The sequence below is a fragment of the Homo sapiens genome, chromosome 1, assembly GCF_000001405.40.
Source record: "Homo sapiens chromosome 1, GRCh38.p14 Primary Assembly".
Classification (NCBI taxonomy): Eukaryota; Metazoa; Chordata; class Mammalia; order Primates; family Hominidae; genus Homo; species Homo sapiens.
In genome coordinates, this window is record NC_000001.11 from 171,233,068 (window position 1) to 171,250,150 (window position 17,083).

Consider the following 17,083-nt stretch of genomic DNA (forward strand, 5'->3'; position numbering starts at 1 on the left):
ACCCATGACTCCAGTTGTTACAAGAGATCAATGGGCACGATGAGCCCTGGTGAGTACTTTTACTTTGTCACTCAGTGCTCCTGGGGGTCCCTGAAGGTCTACTCCAAATCCAACTTCTGACACCAATTGCTCAAAGAAAAGCTGTAGACAAATTAAATTTAGCAGAGTTTATTTTAACAAAGAAAAAAATGTATTAATCAGGCAGCTGCCTGAACCACTAAAGGTCCAGAATGCTTCACCCAACAAGATGGGCAGGCAGTATTTACAGATGGAAAAAGGAAGTTATATACAGAAAGAGCCTGATTGGTCACAGCACAGCATTTGCCTTATATGGACATGTCTGAGAAGTTTTCACCTGTGATTGGCTGAAAGTTCAGCTACTATAATTGGCCAAAACTCAATTACAAAAATGCACTCTCGAGTTAGGTCATAGTTTGTTTACATTTTAAGTTAGAATATAGTTTCCTACAGAGGCATCTTTAGGCCAATTTAATTAACTAAATTTATTGATTAAATTAATTTATTAGATAAATAATTTATTAATTTCAACAATACAGTAATAGCAATTATACTTTGCAATCAAAGCATTACCACAAGTCATTGGATCATTTTAGGTGTGGAAGGGACTGAACAGAATGCTCTTAGATAAGAAAACAGGCTGAGAGAAATCAAGGCACTGCCCAGGGTCACATGACTGGTCAAGTCTTCTGAATATCGTGTGTTGCTTCTTCTACTACCAGTCCAAACAAACCATTGTAATAACTGGCTACTCAAATCATGTAGATGACAGTTGTATATCTAAAACTTGTGCTTTAATACTTAGGTTTCCATCTATATGCTCTCATATTCTGGGAGAAGGATTTTAATTATAACTAATAAAAAGAGTTTTATTGTTAGACATCCCTGCACTTTGAGCTGCTGGCTAATAGAGTAATTGATTATTAAAGAGCATCAGTTTCTCTAGATGTTGAGCTATTTCAAGTTTTAGCAACTTAAGTAACCTGGATAAAATACTAAAAGCCACTACACATTATAAACAATTCAATTTTATTTAATTATATTTAATTCTGACAACCTCTTTTGTGCATCAGGAAACTCAGAGAGTCAGAGTGATATGGTTTGGCTGTGTCCCCACCCAAATCTCATCTCAGATTGTAATCCAAATTGTAATCTCCACATGTTGAGGGAGCCACCTGATGGGAGGTGATTGGATCATGGGGATGGTTCCCCCATGCTGTTTTTGTGAGAGTGAATGAGTTCTCACAAGATCTGGTTGTTTGATAGGTGCCTGGTGCTTCCCCCTTCTCTCTCTTTCCTGCCACCATGTATCCTGCCACCATGTAAGATGTGCCTTGCTTCCCCTTCACCCTCTGCATGGATTATAGGTTTCCTGAGGCTTCCCCAGCCACATGGAACTGTGAGTTAATTAAACTCCCTGTCTTTATAAATTACCCAGTCTCAGGTAGTATCTTTATAGCAGTGTGAAAATGGACTAATACACAGAGTAAACAACTTTCCCAAGTTATATGGCCTACAAGTGGGCCCAGATGGGGTTTACTGCCAGGACTGTCTGACTCTCGGCCCTGTGCTAAATGCTGGCATATAGGATGATTAAACTATTTTTTTAAATCATGTTTTATCTCTGAATTCTTCAGTGTGCATCTTATATCCCAGATGGAATATTATGTTAATGTTTTGTTCCCTCTTTATATACAAAAATTACAAGTGATCCTCAACAGTATTGAAAAGTTGACAAACTACAGGTTGTCAAAGAAATTTCAGAAATGATTTTAAAATAGGTTTGGTAGTGCACGCCTGTAATCACAGTTAGTTGTGAGGCTGAGATAAGAGGATCACCTGAGCCCAGGGAGGCTGAGGCTGCAGTAAGCCATGGTTGTGCCACTGCACTCCAGCCTGGGCAAGAGAGTGAGACCCTGTTTCCCCCTCAAAGAATGGTTTTAATTTGTTTGTGTCCACATTCATAAATATTGTAATGATTTAGGTATTAAGGTATCTGTATAAAAAAGGGAACTGCATTTGTTCACTAAAAATATCCTCATAAGTGCCTGAAGAAAAAAGTAGACACTTTGAAGGACCTTGTTTTGGGCAGAATTGCATTCTCAGGATAACAGAAAGAACTTTCAAACAATTTAGAAGAGGAATGAAGGAAAAAATTAAGAACGAAAAGAAAGAATAGAGACAGTGGGATAACAGAATGCTGTGTAGGTTCAAAGTGATGTCTCCCTGTGGCCCTTTGTATATTCAGTAAAGTTATTAAACACAAAAAATATGTAGTGGAGGTGGATTTTTTGTGGAATTGAAAAGGAGCTAAGCTTTATACATAGATTGATAGGAGGCAAAACAATAACAGCACGATCTGAGGCCAATGCAGACATGGACAAAGCCATGAAGTAGTAAGCAGAAGTCATGGACAGAGCTGTGAAATTGATGGTATGTGCCTGGGTACAGGGAGACCCCAGCTGCTATCCAAGTTACATAAATCTTAAAAAAGTCCTCAGGTTGCCTGAGCCTTAGAAAAGTTGCTAAAAACTCTGTGTATCACATAAGAGACCAGCTTGGAGTTGTTACTTTTACAAGACTCATAGTATCATAGAAAGACCTAAATATCCTCTTCAAGCAAGGACATATGGCTTACAGTTTATTCATTTATTAAACATTTATAAAGCACCTACTACATGCCAGGCACTGTGCTATGTCTGGGAATACCAAGAGGCACAAGAAAAAAACAAATGCAAGCTTTTGAGCTTTAGTTAATAGAGTTCTGCAACTATTTACAAAGAACTTCTATAAATATTATCCTACCTGATCCCCACCACAACATTGTGGGTTAGGCAAAGCAAAAATGATTAAACCCCTCTACAGATAAGGATGTTAAGGAACTTTGATTCCTCACTAGTATCCTTTCTGCTTCACTCCACTATACTATACTACTCTAAATATAACAAGGCTGTGGGACCAAGATGGACAACAAGAAACAGTGGCATTTGAAGGCTCCCATTGAAAAAACCATAATATGTATTGGGGGAATCTGCCCCCAATATTTCAACGTAGGTTCTTTCTATTTTCCGTAAGTGTCAGTCAGCTGAGAAATAAAGAGAGACAGTACAAAGAGAGGAATTTTACAGCTGCGCCATCGGGGGTGACATCACATATCGGTAGGACCATGATGCCCGCCTGAGTCTCAGACCAGCAAGTTTTGATTAAGGGTTTCAAAAGGGGAGGGGGTATAAGAACAGAGAGTAGGTACAAAGATCACATGATTCAAAGGGCAAAAAGCAGAACTACTAATAAGGGTCTAACAAAGATCACATGCTTCTGAGGGAACAGGACACTTTCCGGAAAAAGCAGAACCACTGATAAGGGTCTATGTTCAGCGGTGGATGTATTGTCTTGATAAACATCTTAAACAACAGAAAACAGGATTCAAGAGCAGAGAACCAGTCTGATCACAGATTTACCAGGGGGGAGTTTTTCCCCACCCTAGTAAGCCTGAGGGTACTGCAGGAGACCAGGGTGTATCTCAGTCCTTATCTCAACTGCATAAGACAGACATTCTCCAGGTGGCCATTTATAGACCTTCCCCCAGGAATGCATTCCTCTCCCAGGGTATTAATATTAATATTCCTTGCTAGGAAAAGAATTTAGTGATGTCTCTCCTACTTGCAGGTCCATTTATAGCCTCTCTGCAAGAAGAAAAATATGGCTGTTTTTGCCAGATCCCACAGGCGGTCAGACCTTATGTATGTCTTCCCTTGTTCCATAAAAATCGCTGTTATACTGTTCTTTTTCAAGGTGCACTGATTTCATATTGTTCAAACACACATGTTTTACTATCAATTTGTAGAGTTAACACAATTATCACAGTGGTCCTGAGGTAATGTACATCCTCAGCTTATGAAGATATAAGTGATTAAAGTAAACACAGGCATAAGAAATTATAAAACTATGATTTGGGAACTGATAAATGTCCATGAAATCTTCACAATTTATGTCCCTCTGCTGCTGATCCAGCTGGTCCCTCTGTTCAGGGTCCCTGACTTCACACAACAAATATGCATGTGAATCCTTCACTGGCAACCAAGGTATCCAGGTTCTCTCACCAGAACTGATTAGGACGCTGGTTTGACCCACTGAGAGAAGGAAGAACAGTGTAGTATGGTGGCCCACCTGAGAGCCACATGGGGCTGGGGAGCCCCCTCTGCCTAGCCAAGGGGGGCGGTGAGCGTATTACCCAGCTGGGAAAACTGTGCTTTTCCCATGGAACTGTGCAACCCATGGATCAAAGAATTTCACTCATGAACACACATCACCTGGGCCTAGCATCCCAACCCCAGGACATGCAGACTCTTAACAGCCTTGCCGCTGGAATCTGCTTAAGCCTATGGAGCTCCCAGGGGGAGGGCCGATCAGCATCATGGCTGCATCTGCCTGCTGTCTAAGCCATTTGAGCTCCTTGCGGGAGGGGCAGCAGCCAGCACTGGGACTCACAACTGCCTAACACACTGAGCTCCCTGGCAGAGGGAAGGGCAGCACCCATCTCTATAGCCCCAGGCTGTGCTTGTCCCCTGCTGGAGCCAGGGAGGCTGGACAGCTTGCTCCCAAGACTTGTCCCCCACAGCCCAACACACCAGCTGTGGCAGTCTGCAGGCAGAGTGCCTCTTCAGGCCTGACCCTGACCCATCCTTCTTCAATGGGTGGGGCTTCCTTGCAGGAACTCCAATAACTCCAGCCAGAGGCTCAGAGACAGAATGCAGATTCCCTGGGGCCTTAGCCACTAGCAGGAGATGTGGCTACAGTCTCCGCAAACCAGAAGACAGCCTTTCTTCCTGGTAGTTCTGAGGAATCCATACAGTCCAGATGACTGGGTTTCCCCCAGTGAGGCACACCCCCTCCACCAAGGGACAAAGTGCTCCATTAAAGGGGTCCTGTTCCCCATGCCACCCACGTGAGTGAGACTCTCCAACAGCAGTTGTCAGACACCCCATACAGGAGCAATCCTACTGGCATCAGGTTGGTGCCCCTAGAGGTCAGAGGTCCCAGATGAAGGAGCAGGCACCCATCTTTGCTATTTTCCAGCCTCCTTGAGTGATATCTCCAGGCACAGGAGCGAATCAGATGAATAAGACCTGAAGTGAACCCCCAGCAAACTGCAGCAACCCTACAGAAGAGGAACCTGACCATTGAAAGAAAAACAAACAAGCAGAAAGCAACAACAACCGAATCACAACAACAACAAAAAGCCCCCACAAAAACCCCATTCAAGGGTCAGCGGCCTCAAAGACCAAAACTAGACAAACTCACAAAGATGAGAAATAATCAACAAAAAAATGCTGAAAACCCAAAAGGCCAGAGTGCCTCTTCTCCTCCAAATAATCACAACATCTCTCCATCAAGGGCACAGAACTGGACAGAAGATAAGCTGAATGAATTGACAGAATTAGGCTTCAGAAGATGGGTAATAAAAAACTACACTGAGCTAAAGGAGTATGTTCTAACCCAATGCAAAGAAGCTAAGAACCTCGATAAAAGGTTAGAGGAATTGCTAACTAGAATAATCAGTTTAGAGAGGAACATGAACAATCTGATGGAGCTGAAAAACATACGATGAGAACTTCATGAAGCATACACAAGTATCAATAGCCAAATAGATGAAGCAGAAGAAAGGATATCAGAGTTTGAAGACCACCTTGCTGAAATAAGGCATGCAGACAAGACTAGAGGAAGAGAATGAAAATGAATAAACGAACCCTCAAAAAAAATGGGACTTTATAAAAAGAGCAAAGCTACAATTGATTGGAGTACCAGAGGGAGATGAGGAGAATGGAAACAAGCTGGAAAACACACTTCAAGATATTATCCAGGAAAACTTACCAAATCTAGCAAGACAGGACAACATGCGAATTCAGGAAATACAGAGAACACCACAAAGATACTCCATGAGAAGACCAACTCCAAGACACATAATCATCAGATTCTCCAAGGTCGAAATGAAGGAAAAACTGTTAAGGGCAGCCAGAGAGAAAGGCCAGGTCACCTACAAAGAGAAGCCCATCAGACTAACAGTGGACCTCTCAGCAGAAACTCTGCAAGCCAGAAGAGATTGGGGGCCAATATTTAACATTCTTAAATAAAATAATTTTCAACTGAGAATTTCATATCCAGCCAAACTAAGCTTCACAAGCAAAGGAGAAATAAAATCCTTTCCAGACAAACAAATGCTGAGGGATTTTGTTACCACCAGGCCTGCCCTGCAAGAGTTCCTGAAAGAAGCACTAAATATGGAAAGGAAAAACCAGTACCAGCCAATGCAAAAACAAACCAAAATATAAAAACCAATGACACTATGAAGAAACTACATCAATTAGTGTGCAAAATAACCAAATAGCAGCATAATGACAGGATCAAATTCACACATGTAATTGGCCTTAATGTAAATGGACTAATGCCCCATTGAAAGACACAGACTGGCAAATTGGATAAAGAGTCAAGACCCATTTGTGTACTATATTCAGGAGACCCATCTCACACGTAAAGACACACACAGGCTCAAAATAAAGGGATGGAGGAAAATTTACCAAGCAAATGAAAAGTGAAAAAAAGCAAGGATTGCAATCCTAGTCTCTAACAAAACAGACTTTAAACCAATAAAGATAAAAAAAGATAAAGAAGGGCATTACATAATGGTAAAGGGAATAATTCAACACGAAGAGCTAACTATTCTAAATATATATGCACCCAATACAGGAGCACCCAGATTCATAAAACAAGTTCTCAAAGACCTACAAAGAGACTTAGACTCCCATACCATAATAGTGGGAGATTTTAACATCCCACTGTCAGTATTAGACATATCAACAAGACAGAAAATTAACAAGGATATCCAGGACTTGAACTCAGCTCTGGATCAAGTGGACCTAGTAGATGTCTAAAGAATTCTCTACCCCAAATCAATGGAATATACATTCTTCTCAGTGCCACATAGCACTTATTCTAAAATCAACCACATAATTGGAAGTAAAACACTCCTCAGCAAATGCAAAAGAACTGAAATCATAACAGTCTCTCAAACCAAAGTGCAATCAAATTAGATCTCAGAATTAAGAAACTCACTCAACTACACAGTTACATGGAAATTCAACAACGTGCTCCTGAATGACTCCTGGGTAAATAATGAAATTAAGGCAGAATCAAGAAGCTCTTTGAAACCAATGAGCACAAAGAGAAAATGTACCAGAATCTCTGGGACACAGCTAAAGCAGTGTTAAGAGGAAAATTTATAGCACTAAATGCCCACATCAGAAAGTTGAAAGATCTCAAAAAAACACCCTAACACCACACTTACAAGAGCTAGAAAGGCAAGAACAAACTAATCCAAAAGCTAGCAGATGACAAGAAATAACTAAGATCAGAGAAGAACTGAATGAGATACAGACACAAAGAAAACCTTCAAAAAAAAAAATCAATGAATCCAGGAGCTGGTTTTTTGAAAAGATTAACAAAGTAAATAGACTGCTAGCTAGACCAATAAAGAAGAAAAGAGAGAAAAATCAAATAGACACAATAAAAAATGATAAAGGGGATATCACCACTGACCCCACAGAAATACAAACTACCATCAGAGAATAATATAAACACCTCTATGCAAATAAACTGGAAAATCTAGAAGAAATGGATAAATTCCTGGACACATACACCCTCCTAACCAGGAAGAAGTTGAATCCTTGAATAGTCTAATAACAAGTTCTGAAATTGAGGCAGTAATTAATAGCCTGCTAACCAAAAAAAGCCCAGGACCAGATAGATTCACAGCTGAGTTCTACCAGAAACACAAAGTGGAGCTGGTACCATTCCTTCTGAAACTATTCTGAACAATTGAAAAGGAAGGACTCCTCCCTAACCCATATTTTGAGGCCAGCATCATCCTGATACCAAGCCTGGCAGAGACACAACAAAAAGAGAAAACTTCAGGCCAATATCCCTGATGAACATCAATGCAAAAATCCTCAATAAAATACTGGCAAGCTGAATCCAGCAATACATCAAAAAACTTATCCACCACGATCAAGCCAGCTTCATTCCTGGGAGGTAGTGCTGGTTCAACATGTGCAAATCAATAAAGGTACCATCACATAAACAGAACCAAAGACAAAACCGCATGATTGTCTCAAGAGATGTAGAAAAAGCCTTTGATGAAATTCAACATCCTTTCATGTTAAAACTCTCAATAAACTAGGTATTGATGGAACATATTTCAAAATAAGAGCTATTTATGACAAACCCACAGTCAATATCATATTGAATGGGTAAAAGATGGAACCATTCCCTTTGAAAACTGGTACAAGACAAGAGTGCCCTCTCTCACCACTTCTATTCAACAGAGTATTGGAAGTTCTGGCCAGGGCAATCAGGAAAGAAAAAGAAATAGAGTGTATTCAGATAGGAAGAGAGGAAGTCAAATTGTCTCTGTTTGCAGATGACATAATTGTACATTTAGAAAACTCATGATCTCAACTCCAAAACTCTAAACTGATAAGCAACTTCAGCAATCTCAGGATACAAAATCAATGTGCAAAAATCACAAGCATGCCTTTACACCAACAATAGACAAGCAGGGAGCCAAATCATGAACAAACTCCCATTCACAATTGCTACAAAGAGAATAAAATACCTAGGAATACAGCTAACAAGGGATGTAAAGGACCTCTTCAAGGAGAAATACAAACTACTGCTCAAGGAAATAAGAGAGGACACAAACAAATGGAAAAACATTCCATCCTCATGGATAGGAGGAATCACTATCATGAAAATGGCCATACCGCCCAAAATAACTTACAGATTCAATGCTATTCCCATTGATATTCTTCACAGAATTTAAAAAATTATTTTAAACTTTATAAGAAATCAAAGAAGACCCGGTATAGCCAAGACAATTGTAAGCAAAAACAACAAAGCTAGAAGAAACACACTACCTGACTTCAAACTATACTACAAGGCTACAGTAACCAAAATAGCATGGTATTGGTACCAAAACAGGCATATAGGCCAATGGAGTAGAACAGAGACCTCAGAAATAACACCACACATCTACAACCATCTGATCTTTGACAAACCTGCCAACAACAAGCAATGGGGAAAGGATCTCCTATTCAGTAAACGGTGCTGGGAAAACTGGCTAGCCATAGGCAGAAAACAGAAAGTGGACACTTCTTAAGCCTTATACAAAAATTAACTCAAGTTGGATTAAATACTTAAATGTAAAACCACAAACCTTAAAAACCCTAGAAGAAAACCTAGGCAATACCATACAGGACATAGGCATGGGCAAAGACCTCATGACTAAGACGCCAAAAGCAATTGCAACAAAAGCCAAAATTGATAAATGGGATCTAATTAAACTAAAGAGCTTCTGCACAACAAAAGAAACTATTATCAGAGTGAACAGGTAACCTAGAGAATGGGAGAAAATTTCTGCAATCTATCCATCTGACAAAGCTCTAACATCCAGAATCTACGAGAAACTTAAACAAATTTACAAGAAAAAAAACAACCCCATCAAAAAGTGGGCAAAGGATATGAACAGACACTTCTCAAAAGAAGACATTTATGCAGCTAACAAACATGAAAACAATCTCCACATCACTGATCATTAGAGAAATACAAATCAAAACCACAAAGAGATACCATCTCACACTAGTCAGAATGGTAATTATTAAAAAGTCAAGAAACAATAGATACTGGTGAGTCTGTGGAGAAATAGGAATGCTTTTACATTGTTGGTGGGAATGTAAGTTAGTTCAACCATTGTGGAAGACAGTATGGTGATTCCTCAAGGATCTAGGACCAGAAATAACATTTGACCTAGAATTCCAATACTGGATATATACCCAAAGGAATATAAATTATTCTACTGTAAAGACACATGCACACATTTATTGCAGCACCATTTACAATAGCAAAGACATGGAACCAAACCAAATGCCCATCAATGATAGACTGGATAATGAAAGTGTGGCATATATACAGCATGGGATACTATAAAAGGAATGAGATCATATCCTTTGCAGGGACATGGATGATGCTGAAAGCTATCATCCTCAGCAAGCTAACACAGGAAAAGAAAACCAAATACCATTTGTTCTCTCTCATAAGTGGGAGTTGAACAATAAGAACATACGGACACAGAGAGGGCAACAACAGACACCAGGGCCTGTTGGGGGTGAGGAGTGAGGGAAGGGAACTTAGACGATGCAGCAAACCACCATGGCGCATGTATACCTATGTAACAAACCCACGCATTCTGCACATGTACCCATTTTTTTAGAAAAAATTTTAAAAAATGATACCATGTAATACCTTTTGTATTAATTACAAACCCCTTAGGCAGACTCAAGATAGAATTCTAAGTGATATGATAGATAAGATAGTTTCTAACGTACAGTTGCAGGCTTTGTCACAAATGTTTATCAAGCTATAAAGATGTTTAAAGAAATTCTTAAAAAGAAAAACATAAAAGTGGCTGTTTCCTCCAATCTTCAGATAGTGGATATGTGAGTCACTGAATCACCACTACTGACACTAGTAAACTCATTTCAAGCATAATAATTGGCCTTAAGTAGTCTTGGTTCTCCCTCCAACTCCACTTTCAGTGCTTTCATTCTAAAGGTGGGTTCTCAGGAAAAGAAAAATAATAACCTCGAGGTGTAAGGAACAGAGGGAATTACTTCCTTTAATGTGTGGCATTAAAAAACAAACACTCACATTTTAGAATGACAGGTATCTGTGGGGAAGATCTGTGTAGGTAGGGGACCTTTGATGCTTCGAGTGTAGCGGGAAGTTGTGAGTTAGGGAATTGTGTTTGTCTTAACTTTGTTTTTTGTAGAGAGAAAAACAATTTCACGGGGTGGGTCCAATTTTCAGACTAAGTAAATTCTGTGCTCTCTTTCAGCTCTAAAATTCTGTGGCTCTAACTGTGAATCAGAGAAGTGAAATAGAGTAATGGAAGTGAGACTGAAGAAGATGGTTGACAACTCAAGATGAATGAAAGACAAATCTAACACCTGAAACCATAAAAATACTAGACGATAACATCAGAAAAACTCTTCTAGACATTGACTTAAGCAAAGACTTCATGACCAAGAAGCCAAAAGCAAATGCAACAAAAACAAAGATAAATAGATTGGACTTAATTAAATTAAAAAGCTTCTGCACAACAAATGAAATAATTAGCAGAGTTAACGGACAACCCACAGAGTGGGAGAAAATCTTTGCAATCTATACATAAAACAAAAGACTAATATCCAGAATCTACAAGGAACTCAAACAAATCAGCAGGAAAAAACGAACAATCTCATCAAAAAGTGGGCTAAAGACATGAATAGACAATTCTCAAAAGAAGATATACAAATGGCCAACAAGCATATGGAAAAATGTTCAACATCACTAATGATCAGGGAAATGCAAATCAAAACCACAATGCAATACCACCTTACTCCTGCAAGAATGTCCATAATTTTAAAAATATAAAATTATAGATGTTGGCATGAATGTGGTGAAAAGGGAAAACTTTTACACTGCTGGTGTGAATTTAAAGTAGTACAACCACTATGGAAAACAGTGTGGAGATTCCTTAAAGAATTGAAAGTAGTTCTACCATTTGATTCAGCAATCCCACTACTGGGTATCTAACCAGAGGAAAAGAAGTCATTACACAAGAAAGATACTTGCACAAGCATGTTTACGTCACCACAATTTGCAATTGCCAAAATATAGAACCAGCTCAAATGCCCATCAATCAATGAGTGGATAATAATTTATGATACATATATATATATACACACACACACACACCATGGAACACTACTCAACCATAAAAAAAGGAACAAAATAATGGCATTTGCAGCAACCTGGATGGAGTTAGAGACCATTATTCTAAGTAAAGTAACCCAGGAATGGAAAACCAAACATTGTATGTTCTCACTCATAAGTGGGAGCTAAGCTATGAGAATGCAAAGGCATAAGAATGATACGATGGACTTTGGGGACTTAGGGGAAAGGGCAGGAGGGAGGTGAGGCATAAAAGACTACACATTGCGTACAGTGTACACTGCTTGGGTGATGAGTGCACCAAAATCTCGCAAATCACCACTAAAGAACTTTTTCATGTAACCAAACACCACCTGCTCCCTAAAAACCTATCGAAATAAAAAATATACTTTTTAAAAAAGAAGATGATTGAGAAATACAATGAAGGAGCTAAGAAACATCCCTCTAGTGCATTGATCAATAAAGACTTGGTATGATGCATTAACAACCAATCCCCAAACCTCGATACCTTGAAATAAAACAAAGATTATTTCATGTATGTGTCCATTAGTGTAGGCCCTGCTCATCACATTCACCAGGTATTCGGACTAATAGAAGAGCCATCTTGAAAGTTGCTGATTACCACACTGAAGGAAAAGAAAGTTCTATGGAATCTTACTGGCAATTAAGTGCTCTAGCCCAGAAAGGACACCTTACTCTAGCTCACAGTTCTTTGACCAGAACGAGTCACATTCCTCCCAACCAACCGCTAGAGGGCCAAGAAGAACAATCCTACCATTCATCTTCCCTGAAGGTAGGAGGTCCAGAATATTTCCTAAAGAGCATTATTGTCTACCAATTCAGCTTCTTAGGGTCTAGGTCCACTCGAATAAGGGGACTACATATCCTTCCTTATCCCATGGCCTAGAGTATAACTGACTAACAAAAATCCCTAAAAATAGCAGAAACTGAAGTTGCCACCGAAGGCCGGTCTTCTCATTTTTAATTACTACAAGTCTCTTGCTGATTATGGAAAATGAGATGATATAATAAAATCATCATCTTATTCTCAACCAACAGTTTAAAGTCCTGTGATTCTCCTTATGTTAGCAGCATGCCTGGTAAGGCCCAGGGACAAGTTAAGTCCCACCATTAGTGTACCAAATCCCAGTACTTACATACTTACCTTGATGTGTATATGCTGCACACCAAGGTAAATTACAAATCAAACATATTCTGATTTTTGAAAACATACTTGAACTAATAGTCATTTTAAAGGCTTACTCTCTGGGTATAATTAAGCTTGAAATCATCCAAATATTATTATTTTCATAGCTGCAGCAAAGCAGCTGAATTTCACAGAGCTAACAATGCTGTCTCTGTGCTGAATACTTAATAAGCCAGAAATGAGGCAAAAGGTGAGCCCAATGAGCAAGCAGTATACTCAGTGATACACAGGACCTCCAGGTCAAAGGGTTATACCATGTTGAAAATCAAGGAAAAAGACATATTCTTTCAGAAATTTCTCTCTGCTTCAGTCCACCAACCTCTCATGGAATTTATTCTCTGTACCTGTGGGAGTCATTTCAGTGTTATGAACCAGCAATCAAGACACCTTATCTGGTCCAACAATGACAGCATCATCATCATCATCATTATCATCATTACAATCATACACAGTATTTACTATATATACACAAATCTCTTGACATAGATTATCTCATCTAATCCCCACCACAACTATCTGATGCAGATGTTATTATGCCTGTTTTATTTATTTTTTAGAATTTTTTATTTTATTTATTTCAATAGCTTTTGGGGGAGCAGGTGGTGTTTTGTTACCTGGATAAGTTCTTTAATGGTGATTTGTGGGTTTTGGTGCACCCATCATCTGAGCAGTGTACACTATACCCAATGTGTAGTCTTTTATGCATCACCCCCCACTCCAACACTTACCCCCAAGTCCCCAAAGTCCATTGTATCATTTTTATGCCTTTGTATTCTCATAGCCTAGCTCCAACTTATGAGTGAGAACATAGAATGTTCAGTTTTCCACTCCCAAGTTACTTCACTTAGGATAATGGTCTGCAACTCCATCCAGGTTGCTGTGAATGCCATTATTTCATCCCTTTTTATGGCTGAGTAGTATTCCATGGTATGTATATACCACGAATTATTTATCCACTCATTGATTGATGGGCATTTTGGCTGGTTTCATTTTTTGCAATTGCAAATTGTGCTGCTATAAACAAGTGTGTTCAAGTATCTTTTTTGTATAATGACTCCTTTTCCTCATTTTCAAGACAGCATCAGCTGCGGTAGTATAGGGAGAATGCAAGATTGCCCTAAGGTCTCCTGGATAAGTATTCGTGTTTCTCAGGCTAATAGTCAAAACTATTACAAAGTTCAGCTGGAAGTTTCCTTCTCCCTGTGGTCCTTCCTCAATTTCACTGGCAGCCCTCCTCAAGGACCCCTGTGAGATAAAGTCAGAAATGACTTCCCTGGGCACCAAGAGTACCTACAGGGCTCTTCCCACTGCTTCTACTTTTATATTTCGTTTTGCTCTCTAAATTCATCCCAGCTCTAGGTAAGGTTAAATCCTTCTCCTGTGATCTGGATTTTTAGGTTCCCTAGTGGGTTTGCGTGTTTGGAGGCAGATTTTTTCCCCCACTCACACTTTGGGCACTCACAGTTTTTCAGCTGTCTCATGGAGTTTGCAGCGGCAAGCCACTTCTTTCAAAGGTCCTGTGAATTCTTTTGGTTTTCCTGGTATGTTCATGCAGTACTTCTTGGAGGAAAATTTCACTGTGTGAGTCTCCACATGCTGTTCTGTCTGTCTGCGTGGAAACTGCAAGTTAGTCCTGCCTCCTATCCACCATTTTCCAACAATCTGTCGTTAACCATTTCAAAGTATAGAATTCAGTGGCATTTAGTACATTCATAATGCTGTGTAACCACAACCTCTATCCAGTTTCAAAACACTTTCATCACACCCAAAAGAAAACTCCATACTCATTAGCAATCCTTCCCCATTCCCTTCTTTCCCCAGCCCCTGGCAGCCACTCGATCATGCCTATTTTAAATTGAGGAAACTAAAGCTGAGAAAAGTTATACAATTTTTCCAACATGACTCTGATAATAGCTGGTGAACGCAATACTCGAACCCAGGACTTGTGATTCCCAAGATCAGACTCCTCCCATATACCTGTCTTTTATTTCCCAAGTGCTTGGGCAATCAGCTGCACTTAAAAAGCCTTTACAAATTGAGTTTACTAATGTGAGTAATATATGATTTTTTAAAAATAATAATTGTCCCTAAAGGTGAAATGGATCAAAGCCCTTAAAAGTGAATCTGTGGTGTAGTAACTGTTAACATAATTGTCTTATTTTATTCTCATCCCCTTAAAGAATAAAACTGATGAACAAGTGAGGATGCTGGTGTAACTCCCTAACTTAGTTTATAGTCTGTAAGCAGAAGAGTGAGTCTAAAGTACATATCACCAGACAGTGTTTCTCCTAGCATTTCGCTGTTGCATTAATCAACAAGTTAAAATATAAACAACGGCTAACCTTGGGTTTCAAATTTAACATTCCTTATCTCTTAGACCAGGTTTATCCACTGTGCTGGGGACTCCCAAGCCAGCACTGGCTCATACTGATTCATTTTGATCTCTGCTAATACCAGAGTCCTGCGTGGCAGAGCCATTGGCACCAGAAATTACAAGTACGTAAAGTAAGTAACCAGATATAATCTCTGATTTCTTTGGATGAGGAAAGTGGGGTCTGGAGTTTTCCTGTTTTGTTATTGTGCTCCAGGGAAGAACCACCTTATCAGAAAGCAGCTTTCTCTGTCCAACCCTGGAGGAGCTATAAAGCTACTCCTTGGCCCAAAGTATAGGAGTAGTAAATGTTTGGATACTTATAATGGGACAATATCATTGATTCAACCACTTAATAATCTACCCAGCAGTATACTTACCTGTCTTCCATGTACACAGGTAAGTATACTGTTGGGTAGATTATTAAGTGGTTGAATCAAATGGGAAAAACTTGGATTTCTAATGCAAGAGGAAAAGTCTCTTTTTTTTTTTAGTGCTTCCATCAGCAGCTTCTAACATTGTCTGAGATCATAGTTTTTGAAGGGTGACTACCAAATGTTGGCATTTGGCACAAGTGGGAAGCAAAAGGCAAGCCCCTTTAGAATTTGACTAATCTGTTCTGTCATGTCATCTTTTTTTCTGTTGTTAAAAGTGTTTCGTGCTTCATTCTATGTATTATGTCAAAATTTATTGATTTCCATGTGATTGGCACATCTTTTTTACTAATCCTGCTCCAGTTAAATTCACAAGATCATAAACATCAAGGGTTTGAAAATCATTTTTAGATATTCAGGTCTATGCCATCTGTTCTGCAGATGGAGAAACTGAGTCCTTGGTTATTAGAGTTTCCCCTGCATCCTAGGGAATCTGCTATGGCCTTGTAACTGGCACAGAGGACCTAAAGCCTGGGAGAATTTTTATTTGCTTGTTGTGGTTAGGAACATTTGAGTAAATGAGGAGCTGCTGCTAGAGGACAGAAATCCCAGAGTATGGCCCTCCTTGGACCCAAGTTTCTTACCAGCTGTGCTCCTTTGTTCCCAGGGGCTAAGTAGGCACCTTCACCCACCCCAACTGCCATCCAGCTGAATCTCTCTCTGATTACTCCTGAAATGTCACAACCCACTTGAGGATAGGGTATCATTGTGCAGTCTGTGCCAACCAGTATTCTGAAGTATTTTCATGCACTAAGGTGTAGGAGTGTGTGTGTGTGTGTATGTGTGTGTGTGAGAGAGAGAGACAGAGGGAGTAGGGAAGGAGGAGAAGATGGGGAATGCATAAATAGAGGGCTGGATACAAATCTGACAGTGCCAATGGCTTCCTAGTAAATGCATAGGTGAGTCACACTGGAAACAGTTAAACATTGGCTAATTGATACAATGCTAGCCTCAAATATAGTATAATATGCATTTTCTTGACATCAACAAATAAAATCTCCGGGTCAATAAAATAAACTCGGAAAATAAAACTCTTGCCCAGAAGTTTTCAACTTTCTAGGTTCAAGGAGCCCTTGGTGTGCAATTTCTTCAAGGTGCCCCCAGACCATAGTTTCTCCTATTAAGTAGACAAAAACTTAATAACTATTTATGTTCTAACAACTTTGTAGTTTTTTGAACAAGTAATATACAAACTAAAAGAAAAATAATATTTTTATTTCATTCTTA

General features: G+C 39.4%; 1 protein-coding gene and 1 long non-coding RNA gene across 8 annotated transcripts in view; one reads left to right on the top strand and one right to left on the bottom strand.

Moving 5' to 3' along the window:
• Positions 1–17,083, bottom strand: part of FMO1-AS1 (FMO1 antisense RNA 1) — a 131,518-nt gene that overhangs the window by 112,696 nt on the left and 1,739 nt on the right. For both annotated transcript variants that reach the window (XR_922278.4, XR_001738291.3), the window contains exon 2: positions 14,514–14,660. This is a non-coding gene — a long non-coding RNA (FMO1 antisense RNA 1). The remainder of the gene's footprint in view (positions 1–14,513; positions 14,661–17,083) is intronic.
• Positions 15,427–17,083, top strand: part of FMO1 (flavin containing dimethylaniline monoxygenase 1) — a 37,485-nt gene continuing 35,828 nt past the window's right edge. For 5 of the 6 annotated variants that reach the window (XM_005245038.5, XM_006711241.5, NM_001282693.2 and 2 more), the window contains exon 1: positions 15,427–15,556. The gene's annotated coding sequence lies outside the window, so the exon portion shown is untranslated. The remainder of the gene's footprint in view (positions 15,557–17,083) is intronic. The other variant, NM_002021.3, reaches the window with a different exon arrangement.